Raw genomic sequence first — 23,573 nt, 5'->3', positions numbered from 1 at the left:
GCTGACTTTTGCTAGTCCCATTTGTGTTTAACAATGGCACTAAAACCTAGTCAATTCCAATATTTCAGAACATCTTATAATTCTGGACACATTCCATCAGACCTTCAGCATGTTAAAAATCACAAAAGTCCTTGGCAAAAGGCCAGTGTGAAAATTTGGAAAGGTCTGTAGTTTGTCTTTAGGTTGTTGGTGAATGTGAGGACTCAGGTGATTTAAAAGGAGGTTCAGTCACCATTTGTAGGCGGGAGGAACCTGTGTAATCAGAGTTACTATTTCCTGAACACTGTAGTAAGACATGCTTTGCACATATTATTTCATTTAACTCTCACAGTAACCCAATGAAGTAGGTCTCCTCCCCTTGAGAGTGAGGACACTGGAGCTTAGGAGGGTTGAAGGAGTTGCCCAAGGCCCCAGAGCTAGAAGGTGGCTAAGCCAGGGATCCCAGGGCCTGCTAGCCTCAGAGAGGCCACTCCTCTATGTAGTGGAGCACATTTTACTTCACCTGTCAATGACGCAGGAATTTCGGGACACTGAGAGATGGAGATAAGTCAAAAAGTTTCACACGCTCTTTCCCTGGATCACCTTCACATCCATCACCTGTGTTATCACTCGTCTTAGTCCATTTGGGCTGCTATAACAAACATACCATAGCCTAGGGGGTTGAAACTACACAAATTTATTTTTCACATTCCTAGAGACTGGGAAATCTGAGATCAAGGCACCGGAAGACCCAGTGTCTGGGGAGAGCCTGCTTGCTGGTTTGCAGACGGCCATCTTCCCCCGTATCCTCACATGGCAGAGAACAGAGAAAGAGGACGTGTTCTGGTGTCTCTTCTTTTAAGGGCACTAATCCCATCATGGTGCCTCCACCCCTCATGACCTCATCACCTCCCAAAGGCCCCGTGTACCATACCATCACACTGGGGATGAGGCTTAACATATGAATTTTTGGGGAAACCAGGGGGACAAGCAATCACTTCATAGCATTACCTTCCTGCTTCTAGCCCTCTGGCTGAAGGCAGGGAATTTCCAATTTCCAAAAGGTCCTGACCTCAGAAGGGCCTGGCAGACTGCTTGATTGTGGGGAGGAGGGAAGATTATTTGCACCTGAGTCCTATAAGAATACTAGGCCCACCTTTCTAAGGGGGCTGTGTTGCCTATTTTTATTACTTTTCCCAAGTCAGTGATTATATATCCATGGCAAATCTAGTTTTACCTGATTTGAGATAGAAAAGGACAGGGATCTCCTAATCCATGGAGGCACAGATGTTGAAAAGATAAGCAGAGTTTCTAAACAAACGGGCTTTAAGCAGGAGAAGTACAGGTGTGACCCATCTTTCTCAGTGAGATGTGTTAACTTTTCAGGAACGGGCAGGGTGAGCTTGACATACCTGTGAGAAGGTCATGGGCTCCCAGGGAAAGATTTTCCTATAAAACTAGGAATTGAATTCAGGAGCATCTAATTCCCAGGCCCAGAGCAAGCTGGACAAAGCACACACTTTGGAAGAATTCGAACTGCACAGAAGATAGATGTTACAGTGGAACTCTAACCTTGGCCCATTGAGTTTCTTCCCCTTCCCTGTCCTGGTCCTGCCCAGGCAGAGGGGTAGCAGCCAAAGTGAAATTAGGCATGGGGCCAGAGAGCACTGCCCTCTTCTGGAATCACATGAATCTGCCGCATGTAGGAGGTGAGACTGTTGGGAATGGCTTTAACATTGGCCTCTGGATGCCATGTGACTTGTGGCCCCAGGTCTCTCTGGCATCTCTTCTGCACCCAGTGACATGGGATTCATCTGCATTTCTCAGTTGCAGAGGGCAAGGGTGTAACCCTGGTGTTATTCACGGCCCATGTACTATGGAGCAGTTGGCCCTGTCCTCATGGCATGGTAGGAAGACCAGGTGGGAATAATCAGGTGGGACAAAGGGGTATCTCTGACCCATGGTCCTGGCACAAGGGATAGGAGGGTGAAATCAGAATTAGGTCTGTGGATAGTGCTGAGGTCCTGTTGCCAACTCTGCCAGAGGACATCAAAGTCAGCATGGGAGGGCAAGTGCAAGTCTAGGGCCTCAGTGTGGAATGCAAACAGGCAGAACATCAGAAGAGTACACTGGAAATCAAAAAAGATAAGTCACAAGCTCCGAAGACAGGGCTGTTACAGCTGGCTGTGTATTCACATGCTCCCAGCACATGTTTGCACGGGCAAGTTGGGGCCCTGCAAAGGCCCTGGGAACAGGATTCTGCCTGGAATGTCTGTATGAGGCATTGTGACCAGGGGGCTACCAGGGACCTGTGGAAGGGAGGAAGGAGGCCTTCGAGTGTGTACAACGTGGGGTTCTGAGAGGCACTCACAGCACCTTTGTTTGTTCCGGAGCCTCAAGGTAAGATGAGTGCCTGCTTCTGTTCCTTCTCTTTGGAGAAGATGACATTGACCAAAGGAAAAGTCAGCTGAATTCAGTCTTCTAGTGGGTTTGTTCTTTTATCCCTCTCCTAAGGTTTTAGGGTTCAGCTTTGTAAATCACTGCCTTGTAACCGAGTCTTGCTACATAAGCTTAAAATGAGAAATGTCAAATGAATTGTCATGTAATTATTTGACTATAAACATAAGCCTGTTATAATAATCAGCCTATAGATTAGTTGTATTAGCTTTTCTTCTCCCTGGCAGCACAGTGAAATATCCCTTTAGGAAGCATCAAATTAGATAAATTTGAATAGTTTTTACTTCTCAAGTTGAAAATTCACCAAGAACTGGCTTGTACCACCATTGTAGTAGCACCATTGCCCAGGTTCTAAGACTCCTGTGTTCCTGCCACCTGAATTATAATTTGAATGAACAGATGAATATGGACACTTCCTGAGTACATGGCATGTACCATCCTCTTTCATAACAGCCAGAGAGGGAGGTAGTATTGTTTTCAATCTGCAGATGAGAAAAATCAAGGTTTGGAAAGGTCACATTACTTAAGATCTTAATGCCAGTGAGTAGCAGAGCCATAGCTAGAAGCTGGGTCCATTTATCTCTGAGTCATATGTTTCTCTGCCACAGTGTTCTACCTCCAGAAATTTACTGACCACTTTCCTGGTCACAAGCACTAGCACTGCATATTTTCATGGATGTTATCTCATAAACCTACTCTTACAACAACTAAATGATGTGGGCGTTCATTTTATAGATGACATAAAACTGAAGTTCAAAATATATAACCTGCCCAAGGTCACACAGAGGGCAGTACTGTGCAAGAGAAAATGAGGAAGAAGCAAATGCGGGAGCCCCTGATAAACTCATCAGATCTTGTGAGTCTTATTCACTATCACGAGAATAGCACAGGAAAGACCGGACCCCCTGATTCAGTTACCTCCTTTTGGGTCCCTCCCACAACAAGTGAGAATTCTGGGAGATGTAATTTGAGATTTGGGTGGGGACACAGCCAAACCATATCAGTGCCCTCTTTAAAGGGTTTATTAATTGGAAAGGCTAGGGGGAGATGGATGTCTCACTTCAAAGGGAATACATATTCTTTTGATGACTGAAGCTGTAAGCCATACCAATAGACGTAGGCTGATAGGCAGGAGGAGAAATATGTAGAAAAGGCTGATTATGTCCCAACCAGCTGCCCATTCCTAATAAGGTCTCTGAGACAGAGACAGGACAACGTCCTCTCTGGACACAGGATAATGTCTGGCATTTGAACACTTTTAATAAGTAAGCAAAATACCTGGTGTAGAATAATAGAGATCAAGGCCAGACTTGGCCTTGGTTTCCTTTTGCCCAGGTTAGAGTCAGGAGGGAGTACATGCCACAGAGGGGTGGTTTTGTAAGGGCTAGAGCTGAGGTGGCCAGCTCTGTGGGAGACACAGTCAGAAGAGGGGAAGACACACAGGTGCCTTCCAAGAGGGAGAAGACACTGGGTTCCTGACTCTCCTGTGTCGAAGGGAAATGACCAAAGACAGAAAACACCCCTATGATTTTTTCTTTCTTTCTTTCTTTCTTTTTTTTTTTTTTTTTTGAGACAGGGTCTCACTCTGATGCCCAGACTGGAGTGTGGTGGCATGATCATGGCTCACTGCAGCCTCGACCTGCTTGGCTTAAGCGATCGTACCACCTCAGCCTTCCAAGTAGCTGAGACTGCCAGTGTGTCCCGCCATGCCTGGCTAATTAAAAAAATTTTTTTTTGAGGAAGAGGTCTCGCTATGTTGCCCAGGCTGGTCTTGAACTCCTGAGCTCAAGCAATCCTGCCACTCCCAAAGTGCTAGGATTATAGGCATGAACCACTGCACCTGGCCACCCCATATGGTTTTTTAAGCAAACATGTGAGAAGTGTGTTCTGGGATACAGTGCAGTTAATCAGTTTGCTTATTGTTCTGCAGACTTAACATGTTTACACATGTTGGCATGCTTCATAACTCGGCCTTGCCCAGTCTTTGGTTACTCTAGTAACAATCCTGTGGTATGAAATGACTGAAGTATGGTTCTGGTTTCCTTCCTGCAGGCTTGGTTTAGAAAGAGGGGAAACAGCTAAAGAAGCCTTAGATGTCATTGTCTCCTTGTTGGAAGAACATGGACAAGGTGGGAATTACTTTGAAGATGCAAACTCCTGCCACAGCTTCCAAAGTGCATATCTGATTGTGGATCGTGATGAAGCCTGGGTGCTCGAGACCATAGGGAAGTACTGGGCTGCCGAGAAAGTCACAGGTGAGTGGGTGTGGATGATGGAGAGTTCTGAGGACAGGGAAGGCCACAGAGATGGGGTGGCCTGCACGTACAGTGTCAGACCTGGAAGAAAGACGTGCCGTTGCAGGTCCTCTCTGTGTGGGACTGTCATGCTTTGGCATGCCTCTCATTTCTGGGAACCTCCAAGAAGAGAACCTGGAGTCTCCTGAACCTGGAGTGAAGCAGTCTCTTAACATTTCGTATTTTCTGTTTGCTTTCTGGGAAGAACCTGCTTTTGACTACCAGGAATTCCATGACTTAAACCATTACTCTATTAATTGGCCAAGAGAATGGTGACTCTTCTTGTGTAATAGGTCAACAAGTCCCTTCACTGGACAGTAGCTCCTTGTCACCCCCAACCCTGTAGATCTTTGTGCTTGGCATGTTCCTCTAAAATAGGAGTTTAGATCTGTGTGAGGACCGGTATACGCCACTCTGGGATTTCTTTGTGAGTGAAGTTCATTTATCTCACAGTGAGACAGTGTTTCTAGAAGAGCAGAGGACTAGATGATCCACCCAGAAGAATTTAGTGCCCATAAATTTGCTGCTCTGTGGCCCGTGCAGCATCTTGCTTCTAACACAGCCCTGGGGAAGTAAGTGTTAGGGGTGGGAGTGGTAGTTTTGTATCCCCACCTCAGCATCCTCATTTCTGGACAGGATGAGATCCCAGAATGGGTTAAAGGGCTTCGAAGAGAACTAAGTAGTCCTAAGAGGGAATTTTGGCCCGAGCAGCTCCTTGGGACTGGGTGGTGACCATGTGATGTGTGCACTGCCATTCTTCCCTCCTGTGCTAATGGTGGAGTAGTAGGTCACGACACTTCTCTTTCGTTGAACCTATTCTTGGCCTATGTATTTTTCTTAACTAAATTTACCAGGAAGTCTCTTCCAAGTAATCCAAAATGATGTTGGGGATGAAACTTGTGTGCCGTCCCTATCTTAGGGGTGAATTGAACCAAATTTGACCCGAGTTAGAAGCGGAAGATCTACCACAGTAGATGGGAATCAAGCCTGTTTTCTGTGCACAAAGTTAGTCCAGTGATCAGGGCTTCTCTGGATGATGGGTACGTTGTACTCTATACAAAATTGCCCCAGTGAGGCAGTGAAATCTAGACTGTGGCTTCCTGGCCAAGCTGTATGAAGGCTGTGTCTGTCTGGAGGAGGGGGTGGCCTCTTTCTATCTCAAAAGGGTGTAGAATGGGCTAGTGGTGTCCGTCAGCAATCACGGAGAGTTTCTCCACCTCATATGCCCAGCATGTACCCACCTACCAGTGTGTGTGCCTACTTGCCCAGCTCTTACAGTAGTTCTAGAACTAAGACAGCCAGTGCAGCCCACCAGGTCTCCAACTCTCCTACAATGCAGGAACTTAAAACTCCTTGATAAAAACCCCTCCTAAGATGAAGTCTTACTATTGAATGCTTCCATCAAGAGTGCTAGTAATCCATGCTTCAAAGCAGTCATATTGCTTTTAAGTTGAACCTAACACTTTTTGATCTATGACTGCGTTTCAAAAGCTGAGCGTCTCTTCAAAATGTAGCTTAAAAAATTACACAAAATGAATGCTTCCATTAGTTAACTAAATATTTAAATAAAAAAGAACCCCAGCCATTTCTTGGACTTACTGATTTCATGTCGTCTGATCCCAGCAGCGGTGTGATGGATTGCAGTAAGATTTAATGCACTCCGTCTCCCAAAGGCTAACATTCTTAAAAGCAAATGTCTACTATAAATCTGCCCACTGGGAAACTAATATCTGTAGAGTTGCTTACAAGAGTATTTTTTAAAATAACTTAGTAGGAATGATGTCAAAATCACTTGTTTAGGCCAAAACTGGTTTTTATTTTTAATTGTTTATAATTGTACTTTTATGGTCCTCTCTGAAAAGATAAATGACAAAGGACCAATGCCTACCAGCCAGGAATGCTTATTTCAGAAGTGTAAATCAGTGAAGCAAAACATACTGAAAGAACTTAGTCCAGCACTGATCCTGCCTCTAGGAACTGGTTTTCAGGCAATGATGGCTTTCCTGTAGCTTGTAGTTTATGTTCTTTATGTCACTTCATTCTCCAAGAATCCCTGGAAGCAGCAAATAGGAATGGCCCTTTTAAGCTAGCACTGATAACTTCCTAGTGTTTGTGCCCTAGACAGCATCTTGAAGCTGGAAGGCTGAGTTGTCCTGTGTGCATTTGCAGCTCAGGCTTCGAAGAAGACATAGCAAGCCAGCCAGCTGGTAGGAGAGTTTCTGGTCTAAGCCCTCATTCATCAAAGTGAAATGTACTCAGAATGCAGGCATTTCTAATTCTAGATTTATTTAGTCACACTTCTATTTTTATAAGAAAAAATTTCCCATAGATTTTTCAAACACATACACACACGCATGCACACACTTTATCTCACACACTCACACGCATGTGTGCACACACACATACCCAGACATATGTATATTCATGAATATATTCAATTATTTTAAAACAATTTGTTGTCATTGCCACTATGATTTTCTAAATGTTGAGACCTGAAAAAAAAGTTGAATGAAGTATTTGATTTGTATTTTTTAAAAAAAACCATATAGATTTGGCCAAGGAGTAGGGGTGTAAAGTGTTTTTCCAGGTGAAAAGAAATCAGACCAGGGAGGGGGCTTTCTATAGATGCGATAGAGCATTGCTGTAGAGGAACAGCATCTCTATTATAGAGGACTCCCTTGTGGATTGCTAAGTCTTGTTAGCTCAGTACCTCTTTCAAAGGACCTGTCCCTTTTTTTGCATGTAACTAATGAATGCTTGGGGCTTATTTAGCCAAAATGAAGAGCCTTACATATTTCCTGTTGATTATGCTTTTAAGATGGGTTAAGTGACTGTTGCTCATTTAAAATGTGATAATGCCCAGTCAAGACTGGTCAGACCTTTTAGGAGGTCTCCTAGAAAGAGACTCAATGATTGTCTGTTTCTCTCTTCAAAAATTAAATGGATTCCTCCCTGTAGTTAAAGTCAGTGTTTCAGGAAAAGGATTCCCTATACATTTCCATTTGTTGATTAAGTCTTTATAAGTATATTTTTAACTTATGGGGCTTTGCACTCTCTGCAGAGGGAGTGAGGTGCATTTGCAGTCAGCTTTCGCTCACCACTAAGATGGATGCAGAGCATCCGGAACTCAGGAGTTACGCTCAGAGCCAAGGTTGGTGGACGGGAGAGGGCGAGTTCAATTTTTCCGAAGTCTTTTCTCCAGTTGAGGATCATCTAGACTGCGGTGCTGGCAAAGACAGCTTAGAAAAACAAGAAGGTGAGTTAGTCTCTCCCTCACGATTCTCCTTCTCATACCCTTTCTCTTGCAGCTGTTTCTGAGAACTTGTCTGAACTTAGAAGGGTGAACAAAAAGGAATACAGAATAGTCCTTGTATGTAAAGACCAACTTCTGCTAAAAGTCCCTGATGTGCAGGCAAGAAAACAACTTGTATTTATTTTTACATGGTGCTTCCTCATCCCTGGAGGTTTCCTGCTCCTACCCATGTTATTCTCCTTTAATCTCTGATGTCATTGTGTTGCCTTTTGTAATGCTTACTGCAGCCATCCTCATACATCAGTAATTATATATTTGACTCATCTTTCCCTGCCCCGCTAGCCTGCTGGGACTTGAGGGCAGAGGTGTTGTCTCTTACTCATCTTAGGGTCCCTTTTTGATGCCTGTATAATTTTTTGTTCCATGGATACTTGATGAGTTGAATTCTTGCCACTCCGTCTGCCAACTAGTTACTAACTTATTTTATTTATTTATTTATTTATTTGTTTGTTTGTTTGTTTATTGAGACAGGATGTCACTCTGTTGTCTACACTCAAGTGTGTTGGCACAGTCTCGGCTCACTGCAGCTTCCACCTCCTGAACTCAAGCGATCCTCCCTCAGCTGCACCCCTGCTGCCATCCCAACAGCTGGGACTACAAACATATGCCACCATTTCTGGCTAATTTTTTTTTTTTTTGTAGAGACAGGGTCTCATTTTGTTGCCCAGGCTGGTCTGACACTCCTGGGCTCAAGAGATTTGCCCGCCTTGGCCTCCCAAAGTGCTGGGATTACAGGCCTAAGCCACCGCACCCAGCCCCTAGTTATTAACTTAAATCAGAATCCATGTTTAGGTATATGTGGCGACTAGATAGCTTCTTACTTTTGTGCCTATGTGGAAATCCTTCCAGAAAACCCACAACAGTCATTCTATATTTGTTGGTGATGCATGTATTTTATAAGGCGAAGTTTTGGATCATTTAGGACAGGGGTCTGCAAACTATGACCTTTTGGCAGCTGCCTGTTTTAAAAACAAAATTTTATTGGACTGTAGCCACACCCATTTATTTATATATTGTTTGGGGCTGCTTTCTCACTATAATGGCAGAGTTGAGCAGGTGCAACAGGAAAGTTTCAACGGAAATTCTATGGCCCATAAACCTAAAATATTTACTGTCAGGCCAGGTGCATGCTTGTAATCACAGTACTTTGGGGAGGCTGAGGCAGAGGATCACTTGAGGCTAGGAGTTCAGTTTAAGACCAGCCTGGGTAACTTAGCAAGACCTCATCTCTCCAAAGAAATAAAATTAGCCAGATGTGGTGATGTGGGCCTATAGTTCCAGCTCTTCAGGGGCTGAGGTGGGAAGATTTTTTAAGCCCAGGAGTTCAAGGCTGCGGTGAGGTATGATTGCACCACCTCACTCCAGCCTGGGTGACAGAGTGAGACCCTGTCTCTTTTTAAAAAAAACAAAAAAGAAGGAAAATGCTTCCTGACTCTTAATCTAGAACACTTTAGGACTTTTGCTATAGCACTTATGTAATATATTCTGGGTAGGAAGGTAAGAAAATACTCACTTTTAAACAGGAGCTTTTAAAAAATCAAAATTTTTTTAATTAAAAAAAAACTAGCTTGGTGAAAGATATTAAATAATGTTGCCAAAACATCAACTCTAAATCTGATAAAGCCTTTAGGTCTAGCTACTAATTTACAGAAAATACAGAGGATAGAGGAACAAATACGCTGTTTAATATAATAATTGCCGAGACCAGCTTGGTTGGGGAGACCCTAACCCAGTGGCGCTAGAGGAATGAAAGACACACACACAGAAGTGTAGAGGTGTGGAGTGGGAAATCAGGGGTCTCACAGCCTTCAGAGATGAGAGCCTTGAACATAGATTTACCCATGTATTTATTGACAGCAAGCCAGTGATAAGCATTGTTTCTATAGGTTATAGATTAACTAAAAGTATTCCTTATGGGAAACAAAGGGATGGGCCGAAATAAAGGGATGGGTCTGGCTAGTTATCTGCAGCAGGAGCATGTCCTTAAGACACAGATTGCTCATGCTATTGTTTGTGGTTTAAGAAAGCCTTTAAGCGGTTTTCCGCCCTGGGTGGGCCAGGTGTTCCTTGCCCTGATTCCGTTAACCCCACAACCTTCCAGCGTGGGCATCATGGCCATCATGAACATGTCACAGTGCTGCAGAGATTTTGCTTATGGCCAGTTTTGGGGCCAGTTTATGGCCAGATTTCAGGGGCCCTGTTCCCAACAAATAATGCCATGAGGATGCCATCTGCAAAGCTTACACTGTGCGAAACTACAGGAAAGATGACTCTGACAACTAAGATGCAAGCTGAGTGGGTGCGGTGGCTCATGCCCGCACTCCCAGCACTTTGGGAGGCCCATGGAGGGTGGATCACTTGAGGCCAGGAGTTCAAGAGCAGCCTGGGCAACATGGTGAAACCCCATCTCTACCAAAAAAATACAAAAATTAACTGGGCGTGGTGGTGCATGCCTGTAGTCCCAGCTACCAGGGAGGCTGAGGTGGGCGAATCACTTGAATCTGGGAGGCGGAGGATGCAGTGAGCCAAGATTGCGCCACTGCACTCCTGCCTGGGGGACAGAACGAGACTCCATCTCAAAAAAAAAAGATGCAAGGGGAAAAAACAAGAGGCAGAGACGTTTCCAATTCTGATTGGTTCCAATTCAAATCAATAGGCTCATTTATAAGACAATGAGGAAATCTGAACATTGGACAGTTGAAGCAAGCAAGGATTTGTTGTTAATATTTCTAGGTATGACATGTAAGTAGAGATTTACAAAGAGGATGTGAATGTGCCAACAAACCTCTCCGTGTGATGCTTCAATTCCATCATGGTGAACACAGACTGAAATAGTGTTTTAACAAATTATAACCCAGGGGAAGATGTAGAAATGGGATCTCATGTAATCAAGGATTTGTTTATCCATTTATCTGTGGTCACCGCCAACAGTCCTAATGGCTCTGAATATTCTAAATGCCTCTCTGTGCATATATTTCCCACCGCAGAGAGGACATTCTCCAAATAGAGTATTGACTCTGACCAGCAAGAGTTTATGGGAGCGAGTTTGGTGGACTGTGCGTAGTAGATTGTATGTACTTTCTTGTGGATATCTATTGAGTTATTGTACTGGTTGAGGTACAGCTAAATGCTGTAACAAAGACACCCCAAATTAACGTAGCTTAAAAAAAATAGTAGGTTATTTCTCTCCCATGTTATAGTTCAGGTATATACGGCCAGTCCAGGGCTGGTTACTGTGACTCAACACAGGAATTCCATTTGTGGTCCGCTTGTTTGCATCTCCTAGTTGGCAGGAAGGGAGAAAATAAAAACAAAAGGCAAACATACCTTGTTTATAGATGTGATGAGGAATTGCACACATTGTTTCTGCTTACCTCCTGTTGATCAACATTTATCACATGGCCACACATAGTCACAAGGGAAGTGGGGAAATAGACTGTAGTTTGGTAGTTACAGTCCCAGATGTAATTTCAGAGTTTTTATTACTAAAAAGAGAATGCAGTGAATGGATTTTAGTTAGTGGCCCGCCACGCCACAGTTTTGTGTTATAGCTACTCTTTTTTGTTTGTTTGTTTTTTTGAGACAGAGTCTCGCTCTGTCGCCCAGGCTGGAGTGCAGTGACGCGATCTCAGCTCACTGCAAACTCTGCCTCCCGGGTTCACACCATTCTCCTGCCTCAGCCTCCCAAGTAGCTGGGACTACAGGCGCCTGCCACCACCCCTGGCTTTTTTTTTGTATTTTTAGTACAGACGGGGTTTCACCGTGTTATGCAGGATGGTCGCGATCTCCTGACCTCGTGATCCGCCCGCCTCGGCCTCCCAAAGTGCTGGGATTACAGGCGTGAGCCACCGCGCCCGGCCTATATCTACTCTTTCCATTTGTCTGTCTTTTGTGTTTTTGCAGAAAGCATCACAGTGCAGACTATGATGAACACCTTACGGGACAAAGCCAGCGGAGTGTGCATAGACTCTGAGTTTTTCCTCACCACAGCCAGTGGAGTGTCTGTCCTGCCGCAGAATAGAAGCTCTCCGTGCATTCACTACTTCACTGGAACCCCTGATCCTTCCAGGTTTGTCCGAGGCCTGGTCACGTAGGCAGAACATAAGTGCTTCCCTTGAAAGCTCATTCAGCAAGTGCGTAGTAAGCGCCTGACCATGTCCTCCCCTTGGATAGCAAAGTCACGTTTTTCAGTCAGCTTCAGTGTGGGCAGTGTAGCACCAAGGGCTTTGATTAAGTGAATTCCTTGGTTTTAGTCACATAGTATTTATGACAGTCAGGGAATCTAGTAGTTCTTTTAAATTTATTAGGTTGGTGCGAAAGTAATTGTGGTCCTTACCGTTACTTTTGCACCAACCTAATACCAAATATTTACTCAGTATATATCATGGGCCAAGCATTGTGTGGTACATGAGGGATACAGAAATGAACAAAACACAGCGAGACAGAGAGATGTGGGAATGCTCATGATTTATCAAAACAACCAGTTCCTGTGAGTTAGAGAATAAAACAGTTCGGAGGCAATACAGATTGAAGCAACTTCAAGTGTACTGGCCCCTTCTTTAAGACATTGTGTTTTAGGGGGTTGCTTTCTGCCCATGTGCTTCAGCAAAAAGGCAGCATTACACAGGGATGAAGAATGCAGCCTCTAAAATGACCTGCCAGGATTGTGAATCCGACCTTTGCCACATAGTAGCTGAATAAGTTATTTCACCTCTCTAAGCTTCAGTTTCTGTGTTTGTACAATGGGGATAATATCAGCCCCTACCTTTACATGCTTGTTGGGAGGATTAAATGAGATAATCCAAGTCAATACATAGTAGATTTAACGATTATTTATGAAGACGATCTCTGATCTCCCAGGCAGACAGCAGCCCCTCTCCCCAGGAACATTCTGTCATGTATATCAGGAATCATATCATCAGTAGCTTAGAACCAGCCATCCAGTGGTTTCTAAACCTGTTCATTGCTAGAATCACTTGGAGGAGTTTTCAAAAAATACAGATTCCTTGACTGAAACCTATTGTATCAGAATCTTTGAGGTGGACCTAGGAATCTGTCAGGTAAGTCTGATCCTCAGCCTAGAAGGCTCTAGAAGCCTGCCCATTCCAGTAGGTTCTCTGGTGTTTTTTTGGGTGTTCCATTGGCTGAACATCATTATCAGTGTCTGAAAGTCAGCTTGTTAAACTTTGAATCTGCTTCCAAGGTATTTGCTGGTATTAAATTTCATTCCTTTTGCAGCTGAAAATATTTATTCTCCTTTTACTGTTTCAGGAATATAAGACAGTGATTGCATCTAGCTAGGGACTGGTTCTTAGATGACTCAGGGGAAAAGTGAAGCACCTCTTGTGACCCTTTGGCCTCATTTTTTAAACTACTGCCAATATCAATAGATGTTTCTAACCAGACCTGACTGCGGAACTCAGTATTAGCTGTTCTTAGTTTTTCATTCACTCGTTCATTCAACAAACACTAAGCACCTACTGTGTACCAAATATTGTGTCTGTTGTGTACCATGGATGAAGTGTGTACAAGGAAAGTGGTGGCACAAATGAGATGATGAAGGGGAAAACTTCACAGAGGAAGGAGCTCTTGAGCACTGGGCATTGTGAGAAGAATAGGGGTTCTTTAGGTAAAAAGCAGGAACAACAGTCTGGGTGGAGAGGACGGCACATGCAAAAGGCAGAGAGTCATGAAACCACATGACCACGGGCTAGAGCCGTGCATCCTCCTGTAGGTGATGCTGGTCACTAGGTGACTATTGCTCCTCTACCCCCAGCCCCTCTGTGAAACAAGCCCACCACCCTCCCGTGGCACCCGTCAGCCTTTATCTGTGAGCCTCAACTGCTCTACGCCGCTCCTGGCAGCCTCTCAGGAGGCTCCTCCTGTTTGAGTCCAGTTGCTATTCCCTTGATTTTCTCTCCCAGTTCTGAATGTTTGGCTCCATGGCCATACCTTCTACCCACTTTTTGTCCCACCAGATTTGGGGCTCCGTCTTCCCTTTGTGTCTGGGCCTCCCTCCTCCTGGACTGTGACCTAGTTTGCTCCCCTAATGCTGGTGGCTCAATAGCCCCTTGTGAGGACCCTGCTGGATGACAGGGGTACATATGGACATTTGGAGTTCTATTTTCAAGTGTCTGGAATGCTCTGCGAAGTATTTGGGCATGGCTTTTTAGGGAACAGGACCCTTCCAAAGAGTGAGTTGAGCTGAACCAACTCCTGTTGTCCCTGATGTCTCAGATACCAGCTCTAACTGTGCTCAGGAGACAGGGCCTTGTGAGCCCAGGACACCAACGTAAAGGAACTCCACTTCCTAGGCTGAAGGACATGGCCTAATCCAGTTATAAAAATGGCTGGGCAATAGCCTTCTGATAGTTAAAATAAAAAATTTTAAGTACTTTTAAAAGAAAATTATTCATGGTTAAATTAATTTTAAAAACCTTGTATTATAGAAGATTAAGACCCTTCTGGAAGACATTCGTTGTTATCTTCCATGGTAAAAGAGCTGCATTTCCTACCATGACTGTAGAACTTTCATAGGTTGTTATTCTTTCTATTCAACATTTCAGTTGTTTCTCTGTAATTGTGCTTGCTCGACTTACTGTCTTTTGTCAGCAAGAAACATAATTACCTTTTGTTAGGTTTTTAGGCAAGAAAGTTAGGGAGATTTTGGCTTCTGTTAATGCTAAAAATGTTAGAAATTGTTTCATAGTAGCAGACTTGGAAAAGAACAGCACTTTAGTCTTTATCCCTCCCAGTTAATGTTAAAACCAAAAAACGTGATCTTACCGTTGTTCTGCCTGCCTGGACACTTGTCTGTCCTTTTCTCACTGTATTAATTATAGATCTTGTCCTTGAAATAACTTGCGCTCACATCCTCTTTTCTACTCCCTCCCTCCCTCCTCCTACTATGTGCTAGGTAGTATGTAAGGTTGAGAAGTGGAAGGAGATGCTAAAGTCAGAGTTTGAATGCCTGAGGGAGATGCAGAAGTTCTTCACTTAATTATATTGAGAAGGCAAATTCCATCACATCAACATGTGTGCCACAGTCATTCAAAGAGTGACACTGATTGGCTTTAGTATACTGGTTCTGACTTTTGGAAACCATTTCCTAGGAAGCCAGCACTTGTTAAAGCTTCATTGATGTGAAGAATTGGAGAGGGGAGGAGTAGAGAGGTACCTTAGCATTGTGAGAGTGTAAAATTCGGAGTCTTACAGTGTGCTGGAGCCACGGAAAGCTGATTGTGAAGAGAGCCTCTCTTCCCAACTCCACATTTGGTGATGTCATTGGCCCCTTGAAATGGGCCACAGTGGGGGTATTTACACTACAGAAATTGGCAAATGCCATAAAACTGAGCTATTTTTTTCAGAGATATAGTTGTTAGACCAGTAAACCACTGAGAGGTCCCCACATGCAGGAAAATACACAAATAAATACTCAAGATACAGGCCAGGTGCGGCCGCTCACGCCTGTAATCCCAGCACTTTGGGAGGTCAAGGTGGGTGGATTGCTTGAGGTCAGGAGTTCCAGACCAGCCTGGCCAACATGGCGAAACCCTGTCTCTACTAAAAAAAATACAAAAATTAGCCAGGCGTGGTGGTGCACGCCTGTAATCCCAGGTACTCTGGAGGCTGAGGCAGGAGAATCACTTGAACCTGGGAGGCAAAGGTTGCAGTGAGCTGAGATTGAGCCACTGCACTCCAGCCTGCATGACAGAGTGAGACTCTGTCTCAAAAAATAAAATAAAATAAAATAAATAAGATACAGGATGGGTAAACCAGAAGGGGGAGAAAATGTAGAAGTTCTAGGAAAATAGGGTGTCTGAGCTACTTTAAGTAGTGGCAGGGTGCTGGAGAGATGCCAGGGACATTCCCCTCTACCCCACCTCCTTATTTGTATGTCTGTGTGTCTTTTGTTTCCTCCTCTTCTCCTCTCAGTGTACTAATCTTTTTTTTTTTTTTTTTTTTTTTTTTTTGAGATGGAATCTCACTCTGTTACCTAGGCTGGAGTGCAGTGGCGTGATCTCGGCTCACTGCAACCTCCACCTCCTGGGTTCAAACGATTCTCCTTCCTCAGCCTCCTGAGTAGCTGGGACTACAGGCACGTGCCACCACACCCGGCTAATTTTTTATTTTTAGTAGAGACGGGGTTTCACCATGTTGGCCAGGCTGGTCTCGAAGTCCTGACCTCAGGTGATCTGCCTGCCTCCGCCTCCCAAAGTGCTGGGCCAGTATACTAATCTTGAGAAGTTAAATTGGCTTGGGCAAGATATTACCATCTAGATAATTCAAATGTCAGAAACAGCTTTTTGTTACTGGAGCAAACATCATGAGCCTTGGTCAGCATGACTCATGCAGCCTTTGGAGCCACGTGGGGCACAGCCTGCACAGATAGACAGAGCCGAAGGCCCTAGGCAACATGGTGCCTACCCCTCCAATTCCATTCTGAATTCTTCCAACACCAGCTGTCTCCTCTCTCTGTCCTACACATCTGACTTTTCAAAACCCCCCAGAGCCGCCATCCTTAAGGCTGTTCGGTGCTTCAAAAGTACTGGCTCTCTTTCCCTTTAAAATGGAAACTCCCTTCATGGATTAGTTCTGCTCTCAGCCAGGTATGACTTTAAAAGTTTTTTTTTGTTTGTTTTAATTTTTGTGGGTACATAAAAGGTGTATATGTTTATGGGAGCCAGGTGTGACTTTGACTCTATGATTAAAGTGGCTCACAGTAAAGCTGGAATAAACATAGATGAACCACTCTGAGGGGCGCCTGCGTTTTTGAGAGAAACTTGGTATTGCAGGTTTATTTGAGATTGGTTCAAATTTGAGCAGCTTCCTCTGAACAGGGATTTATGTATTGTTCTTTCTGTGCTAACTCTCCTCAGTAGATTTGCCAGGAACTCCAGGTCACAGGAGCAGCCTGGTTTGTTGCTTGGAGAGTTTCTGCATCTTCAGTAAGAGCAGAGCCATGTTTGAGGACAACACTGTTGGCTAGCCAGTGATATTAAATTCTAAATTCTAAAGCATAAAAAGTATTTTATTTTTCTGCAGCAGTATAAGGTGTATGGAAAAACTAACAGAAGAATATAAGAGTGAGAGGTAGTGGGGAAAACTGACCTTGCATTTAGATCTGAATTTACTTCTAGATCTGCCACTTAGTAGGAATGTGATTTTGGACAAAGCACTTAGCTTCTGTGAGCCTCAGTCATCTCATATGTAAAATGGGACAGAAATGTTTGCCCTTCTTTGTTCACTGCTGTATCCCTAGTACCTAGAACAGCATCTGGTACTCAGCCAGGGCTCAACACATATTTGCTCAATGAATGAATGAATAAGAGTACCATGAGAATTGAATGCAGATGCTTTGAGAATTATGCTGTGCTATGAAATGTTAGAGATTTTCATGGTAATGTTGCTGTTCTTCCAAAATGAGAAAACAAATGATTGGAAAATAGTTTTTTTTGCATTGGCATGCTGCATCCCTCACAAGGCTTTAGAGGGAAAAATGGACAGATGAGGTAATGGTATATCCAGTGGAGTATGTTTCTTGGCTGTGCCTCAAATTGTCACTCAAGGCTAAAATTCTGCAGATCTCTGCAATGGAGTTTGGATGCCCACGCTGTGCGTCGTGTCATGGGACTGTGTGTCTCAGCCCTTGGATTTGTCTTCGTGAGAGCTGGATGCTGAGGGAGGCTTCCTTTAGTGTTGCTCATGGTCTCATTGATTTAACTGTCCCTCACAAGGTCCCTTTAAAGTAGCTCGGCCAGCTTTGAACCTCCTCATGAACTGGCTGCTGGGCTGTGCCTTGCCATTGGAAGCACTTTGTGCTTTTGGGCCCATCGTCTTGTATTCCTGTCACACCACACCACAGAAGTCTGAGTGACTGGGGCAAATTCCCAACCCAGGGTTTGGTGACTTTTCTGAAGGTTGGTCTGAGAGTCAGCCCTGAGGACAGAGGCAGAATCAGCCTTCTGGAACCTTCTCAGGTGTGTTCTGCATCCAAGCCATCCACGGGACACTCGGGGGCGTCCCATGCATGTGATGAAATGGGCCTCATCCTGGTCAGGTGGGCTGGACACGGTTGGGTGTATCTGCTAATTGTAGGTGGTGGAGACAGTTGGGTGTGTCTGTTAATGGGCTTATGTTCATTCAAGTAGCATTTAAGAAGCTACCGTCTGTGGCTTACCTGTGGGAAAATGTCAGAGTATCTCCTTATCTATTTGGAATTCTAAATGTGATTTTCTGTAAAGATTGATAAGAAATCAAAATGTTTGGGAACCACTGAGTTACCCCCATTCCCCTTTTCTGGGTACATAGACACAAATGATGAAACCTGAATTATAGATAATTTCCACATCCTGGTTTAAACAAATATTAATATTGCAATTATTATCAGCAATAATTTTTGTTAATATTTTATGTAATTATTATTTTTTAGATAACCTTATTTATTAGTTATATAATTTATTCAATCTCAAAAAAGCTTTTAACCACCTCAATACATTTAGGCTTTATATTTTTTATTAGTTGAGTATACTAAGCTTTGAAAAAATATTTGGAGAGCTTTGGCTGCTTTAGAATATTTTGGGAACCTCCTCATATTTATTATGTATTCTTTTTAAACTAAAATGGATAGATGAGAGGGACAAACTTATGGTATCTCTTCTCTTAGAAAAGCACCAGACACCCTCATTGATTAACCTCTCCATTCCAGTGAGCTTAGGGTGGGTTTAAAGTTACATCACATAGAGCATTCTGAGTTTTTACTATGCATTTATCCTATATTGAATACAGAAGACCCTGACTGTGGTTAGCATGAGCTTACTGAAGCTGGCATCACAAGTTTACAAGCTTCATGACAGAAATAGAAATAAACGAGTTGTAGAAGCTAGAAGGGACTGTTGAGATCACTGTAGTCAGATGAGAGCCAGAGAGGGAAAACATGGACCCACAGTGGGTCAGACGCAAAGCGGGGACTCACACCCCCGTTCCAAGTCCCAGCCCAGTTCCCTGCCCTGCTCTGTGGGAGGTAGCTCCGCCCAGCGGTGCTGCCAGGCTGTCCCCTTCCCTCACTTCTTGGCATGGCTCTCCCAAGGGGTCCTGTGTCAGAAGAGTCCTGAGATGCGCAGTAAGGGAAGCACTGAGGTTTTAGGAGTGAAATGGCAGGTTTCCTGATGAAGATACTGCTCCCACTTGGGTTTGGAGTGGGCTTTGGAGTGGCATGGGGATTGAATGAAGTAGCATTGCATGGGGCCTGCTCAGTAGGCTCCGCAGGAGGGCGTGGTCGCAGTTCCCTTGCCTGCCAGGTGTTGAGCCTGCACCAGTTCCACCGTGAAGCCTACCAGCCCAGGTGGGAGTCTTGGCTTTGCCCAGTTCTGCCCAGCGCAGAGCCCTGGAGCTGAGAAGATGTGAACCGAGCTGACTCTGGGCTGCTGGGTGGGAGCCCCGGGCCTGTCTACCACTGAAGGGTTTCTGTGCCAGTGAAAGAGGCTGATGCTGCTGAGGTGACATGCGCTGACTTCCCAGGAAACCCCGAGTGCTGTCTGGCCCTCAAGGGTAGGACGCCTGTCTGTAGTGAGACAGTCCTGCTGTCAGAGCCCAGAGGTAGCCTGGAGACAGCTGGTTGTGGATGGCTAGGCGTGCTCTCTCCTGGCCCTCCTCCTCCCCACTGCTCCATTGCAGCGAGCCCTCCATCTGCAGCCCTTTTGCAGAATCAACTGACTCACCAGTTAAAGAATTCAATTTCATATAGTAAAAATTGGTTTAAACAGTTTTAGGTTTTGCAATAATTCCTTTTTCATATTCAACAGCCATTCATTCAACACTCAGTAGAGGGGTATAGCAATCATCTATTTTCAAGGGGCTGTAGGAAGTGGAAGTGTGTGTTCCTTCTGTGCAAGGGTAGCTCCCCTATGTCTTTAGGGGGTCTTCTTTTGATGATGGCTAGGGAGGGTAGGTTCTTGGCAGGGCTTGACTTTGAGCAGGTGGGCGCAGCCTGGCATGCCTTATGCTTCCCAGTGGATCGGAGATGGGCCCAGTCTCCAATTATATTTGCGTCATCTATAGAGAACAGCAGAGTACCTGACACTAGTCCTCAACTAGTACCACTCAGTTCACCAGCTTGGGGTACGAAGGTCTCACTGCTTTTAATACTCAAATTAAATTAGTCTGGGCCCCAATTTTGCATATTGTGATCAGTGTCTTTCTTTTCTCACTTGAGACTCCTGTCCCATGGCAACATCAGGAAGCTAACCTAAGAGAGTACTTCTCATTACTGTTGTGTCTTTAGTAGTGCTCTTCAGACTGGGATATGTTATGAATCCGCAGGGATCTTGTTAAAATTGCAGATTCTGATTCAGCAGGACAGGGTGGGGCCTGAGGTTCTGCAGCCGATACTGTTGCTGCAAGTCCGAGGACAAAATTGGCTGGCAAGGGTTATTGGCTCCCAGTCCTTTTCAGGTCATGGCATACCTGAAAATAGTTTTTCTTTGTCTGTTTGTTTGTTTTTGAGACAAAGTCTCGCTCAGTCACCCAGGCCGGAGTGCGATGGCATGATCTTGGCTCACTGCAACCTCTGCCTCCTGGGTTCCAGCGACTCTTCCACCTCAACCTCCTGAGTAGCTGGGATTACAGGAGCACTCCACCACATCCGGCTAATTTTTTTTTATTTTTAGTAGAAACGGGGTTTTACCATGTTGGCCAGGCTGGGCTCGAACTCCTGACCTCAAGTGATCCACCTGCCCCAGCCTCCCAAAATGCTGGGATTACAGGTGTGAGCCACCATACCTTGCCCATACCTGAAAATATTCATACCTGTGTGCCATACTGGCAAGGCTGCCCTGGCTTCCTCAAGCTCCAGATGCCCCAGGGCTGAGGGAATCAACATCCTAGCTCACCTCTAGCCCACTTGAGGTACCCGAGGTGGGCCACAGTGCACCTGTTGAGAGGAGAAAAAAATGTCCAAATCTGACAAATCTGACCTATACATATGGGGCACATATGGGGAGTTCCTTCTCTCCTGCTGTTATTGCAGGTGCTGCCCCATGGTACAGCTGAAAACAGGCAATCCTTGGGACGCAGAGGTGCCCATGCCTGCCAGGAGCAGCCCTCTGATCCAGCAGTGTTTCCTCTGGATGTGGGGAGGGTAGGATAAGGCTCTCTCCCCGGCGTTACAGTTGGCCATAGTGGTCCCTTAGCCCGTTGGCCTGGGATCCCAGGCCACAGCTGTTTATATGCGTGGCTCTTGTGTGTGTGTGTGTGTGTGGGTGGGTGGGTGGGGGGGTGATGTATCCTAGACTTGTACAAGTACACACACATGCAGGCATACGCACAGCCATTTTCCCGAAGATAACATCCATCCTGCCGAGAGAACTGAATTGAAGAGAGCTGGGGGGCATTAGCTACCTGCTGTGCCCTGTGCTAGCTCTCTCACACAACCAGACTTCTGTGTGGTGTGCACCCTCCAAGGCCTCTTCTGTCATCTTTCTTACTCTGTCCCCTCCTTGGGTCTGTCAGAGATATTCCATAGATTTTTCAGTAAGGTAGAACCTCAGAAAAAAACTAAAAACAAACCCAAACCAAAAGGCCCTTCCTTTCCCAAAGGCTGCTTCTCAGACCACGGTATTAAAAAAAAAAAAGGCAAACCTCTCTCGCTCAGCTAGATGGCTCCTTGCACCGTTTCTCAGAACACTGTTTGTTTGCCTCACTTTTTATTGCTAAAAGAGTCCTCTCAAATGGTTCAGAACAAAGGAAGTCTGTTTTGATGTCTCTTTGCTGTAAGTAGAGGAATTTGCAGCTTGTAAATGGCTGCAGTTTTGCTAAAATAGCGACTAAAACATGCAGTTATGTCTCTCTTGGCACTCACCCACCCACCCGTCACCCACACCCACCACCCACCATAAGTTGGCTTGGGAAATGTTTGCTGAATAAAAGGACAGTCTCTGGGTGTTCCCGGGTCCCAGCCTCTGCCTGGCTGAAGTGCCTCTCCTTCCTCTCCAGGTCCATATTCAAGCCTTTCATCTTTGTTGATGACGTAAAACTTGTCCCCAAAACACAGTCTCCCTGTTTTGGGGATGACGACCCTGCCAAAAAGGAGCCTCGGTTCCAGGAGAAACCAGACCGCCGGCATGAGCTGTACAAAGCCCACGAGTGGGCACGTGCCATCATCGAAAGTGACCAGGTGAGCTTGCATGAGGGCCACAGAGGCGGAGGCGGAGGCGGGCGGGCGAGGTCAGCGAGGAAGGAGGCAGGGAAGCAGATGTCAAGCTAGACCCTACCCCCACCCATCCAGTGTGACCGGGCTTCTCCCAGAGACCAGGTTCCTGGGGCCTTTCCTAGAAGGCTGGTGTCCATTTTCCTGCCCAGGCTCTTGAAACCAAATAAGACAAAGCTTCTGCTTCTCATGTTATTTTGGAATTCAGCAGGCTGAGTATCTTACTTACATTTACTGTTTACGTAGGAATAATAGGAATATGCAGTACGTTAGGGATAACTGTTATATATTGTGTAAAATTCCTTATGTACTTTTGGGGGTAAAAAGTTGTTATTTGCTGGCAACATTTTATTAAAGATACAATCATATGTTGTTTCAAAAAAGTTCTGGAGTTGGCTGGTGGTGCTGGTTGCACAACATTGTGAATGAGCTTAATGCACTGAACTATACATTTTAAAGTTTTTAAATGGTCAATCTTATGTTATAATACATATGTTTTACCATAGTACAAACATAGTTTTAGAAAATATTCTCATATTCCTAGGGTTTTTTTTTTTTTTTTTTGTATTTTTAGTAGAGACGGGGTTTCACCCTGTTGGCCAGGCTGGTCTTGAACTCCTGAGCTCAAGCAATCCACCTGCTTCTGCCTCCCAAAGTGCTGGGATTACAAGCAGGAGCCACCGCGCCCAGACTCATATTCCTAGTTTTAAAAAAGAAGTCGTAATCCTTCAAAGTGCAGCTCTCCCCAGTCCCACACCTTTGGTTAATAAAGTGATAAGTCATCAATTCAAACAAGAAAACCACCCAAAGCACGTTCCACAGCACCCAGTGTGTCCACAGCAGCCACCCCGATGGACTTTATATAAATTCAAGCCTATATTTTGCTGAAGAGAGGAAGAAGGAACGTGCTTGTTAGACACTCATCAGTTTTCCCCAACTATTTATGTAACAACTTTTAATAGGTCCAAACTGGCCTGAAGGGCCCAAAAGGGGGACCTTTTGTGTAAATTGGTGCTGTGGACTGTGTGAGCCTCTTGCATTTGACATGGTGGACTATAGAAAAAGGATATCAAGAGAAAAATCCAAGCAATAAATCCAGATGAATTCAGAAAGCATCTCTGAGAAGGGCTGTCTCACTTTTCTGAGAGCTTGCCCTTCTCTTCCATAGAAGTGACCATTTGACACGTAAAGGTCGCACAGTTATTTTACATCTCTCCTCCCTGCCAGCCTAAAAAGGCTGGCAGATAATCGGAAGCATGCATGCTGCCACTGCATTCAACTGTGTTTTCTCCAGGGCTGTCCACATTAGTTCCTGATAGTGCTT

The 23,573-nt window shown here is 44.8% G+C and overlaps 1 protein-coding gene across 5 annotated transcripts in view, besides 1 other annotated feature; it reads left to right on the top strand.

Moving 5' to 3' along the window:
- The window catches only part of SCRN1 (secernin 1), a 70,187-nt gene that overhangs the window by 41,622 nt on the left and 4,992 nt on the right, over positions 1-23,573 (top strand). For all 5 annotated transcript variants that reach the window (NM_001145514.1, NM_001145513.1, XM_047421085.1 and 2 more), the window contains 4 exons: positions 4,489-4,691; positions 7,792-7,986; positions 11,947-12,112; positions 22,036-22,216. In NM_001145514.1, the coding sequence (NP_001138986.1) occupies positions 4,489-4,691; positions 7,792-7,986; positions 11,947-12,112; positions 22,036-22,216 (745 nt within the window). The remainder of the gene's footprint in view (positions 1-4,488; positions 4,692-7,791; positions 7,987-11,946; positions 12,113-22,035; positions 22,217-23,573) is intronic.
- Positions 18,830-19,329: an enhancer, noted in NCBI's record as "H3K4me1 hESC enhancer chr7:29968955-29969454 (GRCh37/hg19 assembly coordinates)". NCBI's record gives its function as "activates a minimal SCP1, AML or CMV promoter by ChIP-STARR-seq in primed H9 embryonic stem cells {active_cell/tissue: H9 hESC(primed)}" and the evidence as "EXISTENCE:reporter gene assay evidence [ECO:0000049][PMID:30033119]".

This window comes from Homo sapiens, chromosome 7 (genome assembly GCF_000001405.40).
Source record: "Homo sapiens chromosome 7, GRCh38.p14 Primary Assembly".
NCBI classification, from domain to species: domain Eukaryota; kingdom Metazoa; phylum Chordata; class Mammalia; order Primates; family Hominidae; genus Homo; species Homo sapiens.
Note: the sequence above shows the minus strand (reverse complement) of the source record. Positions and strands in the feature narration are given on the sequence as shown.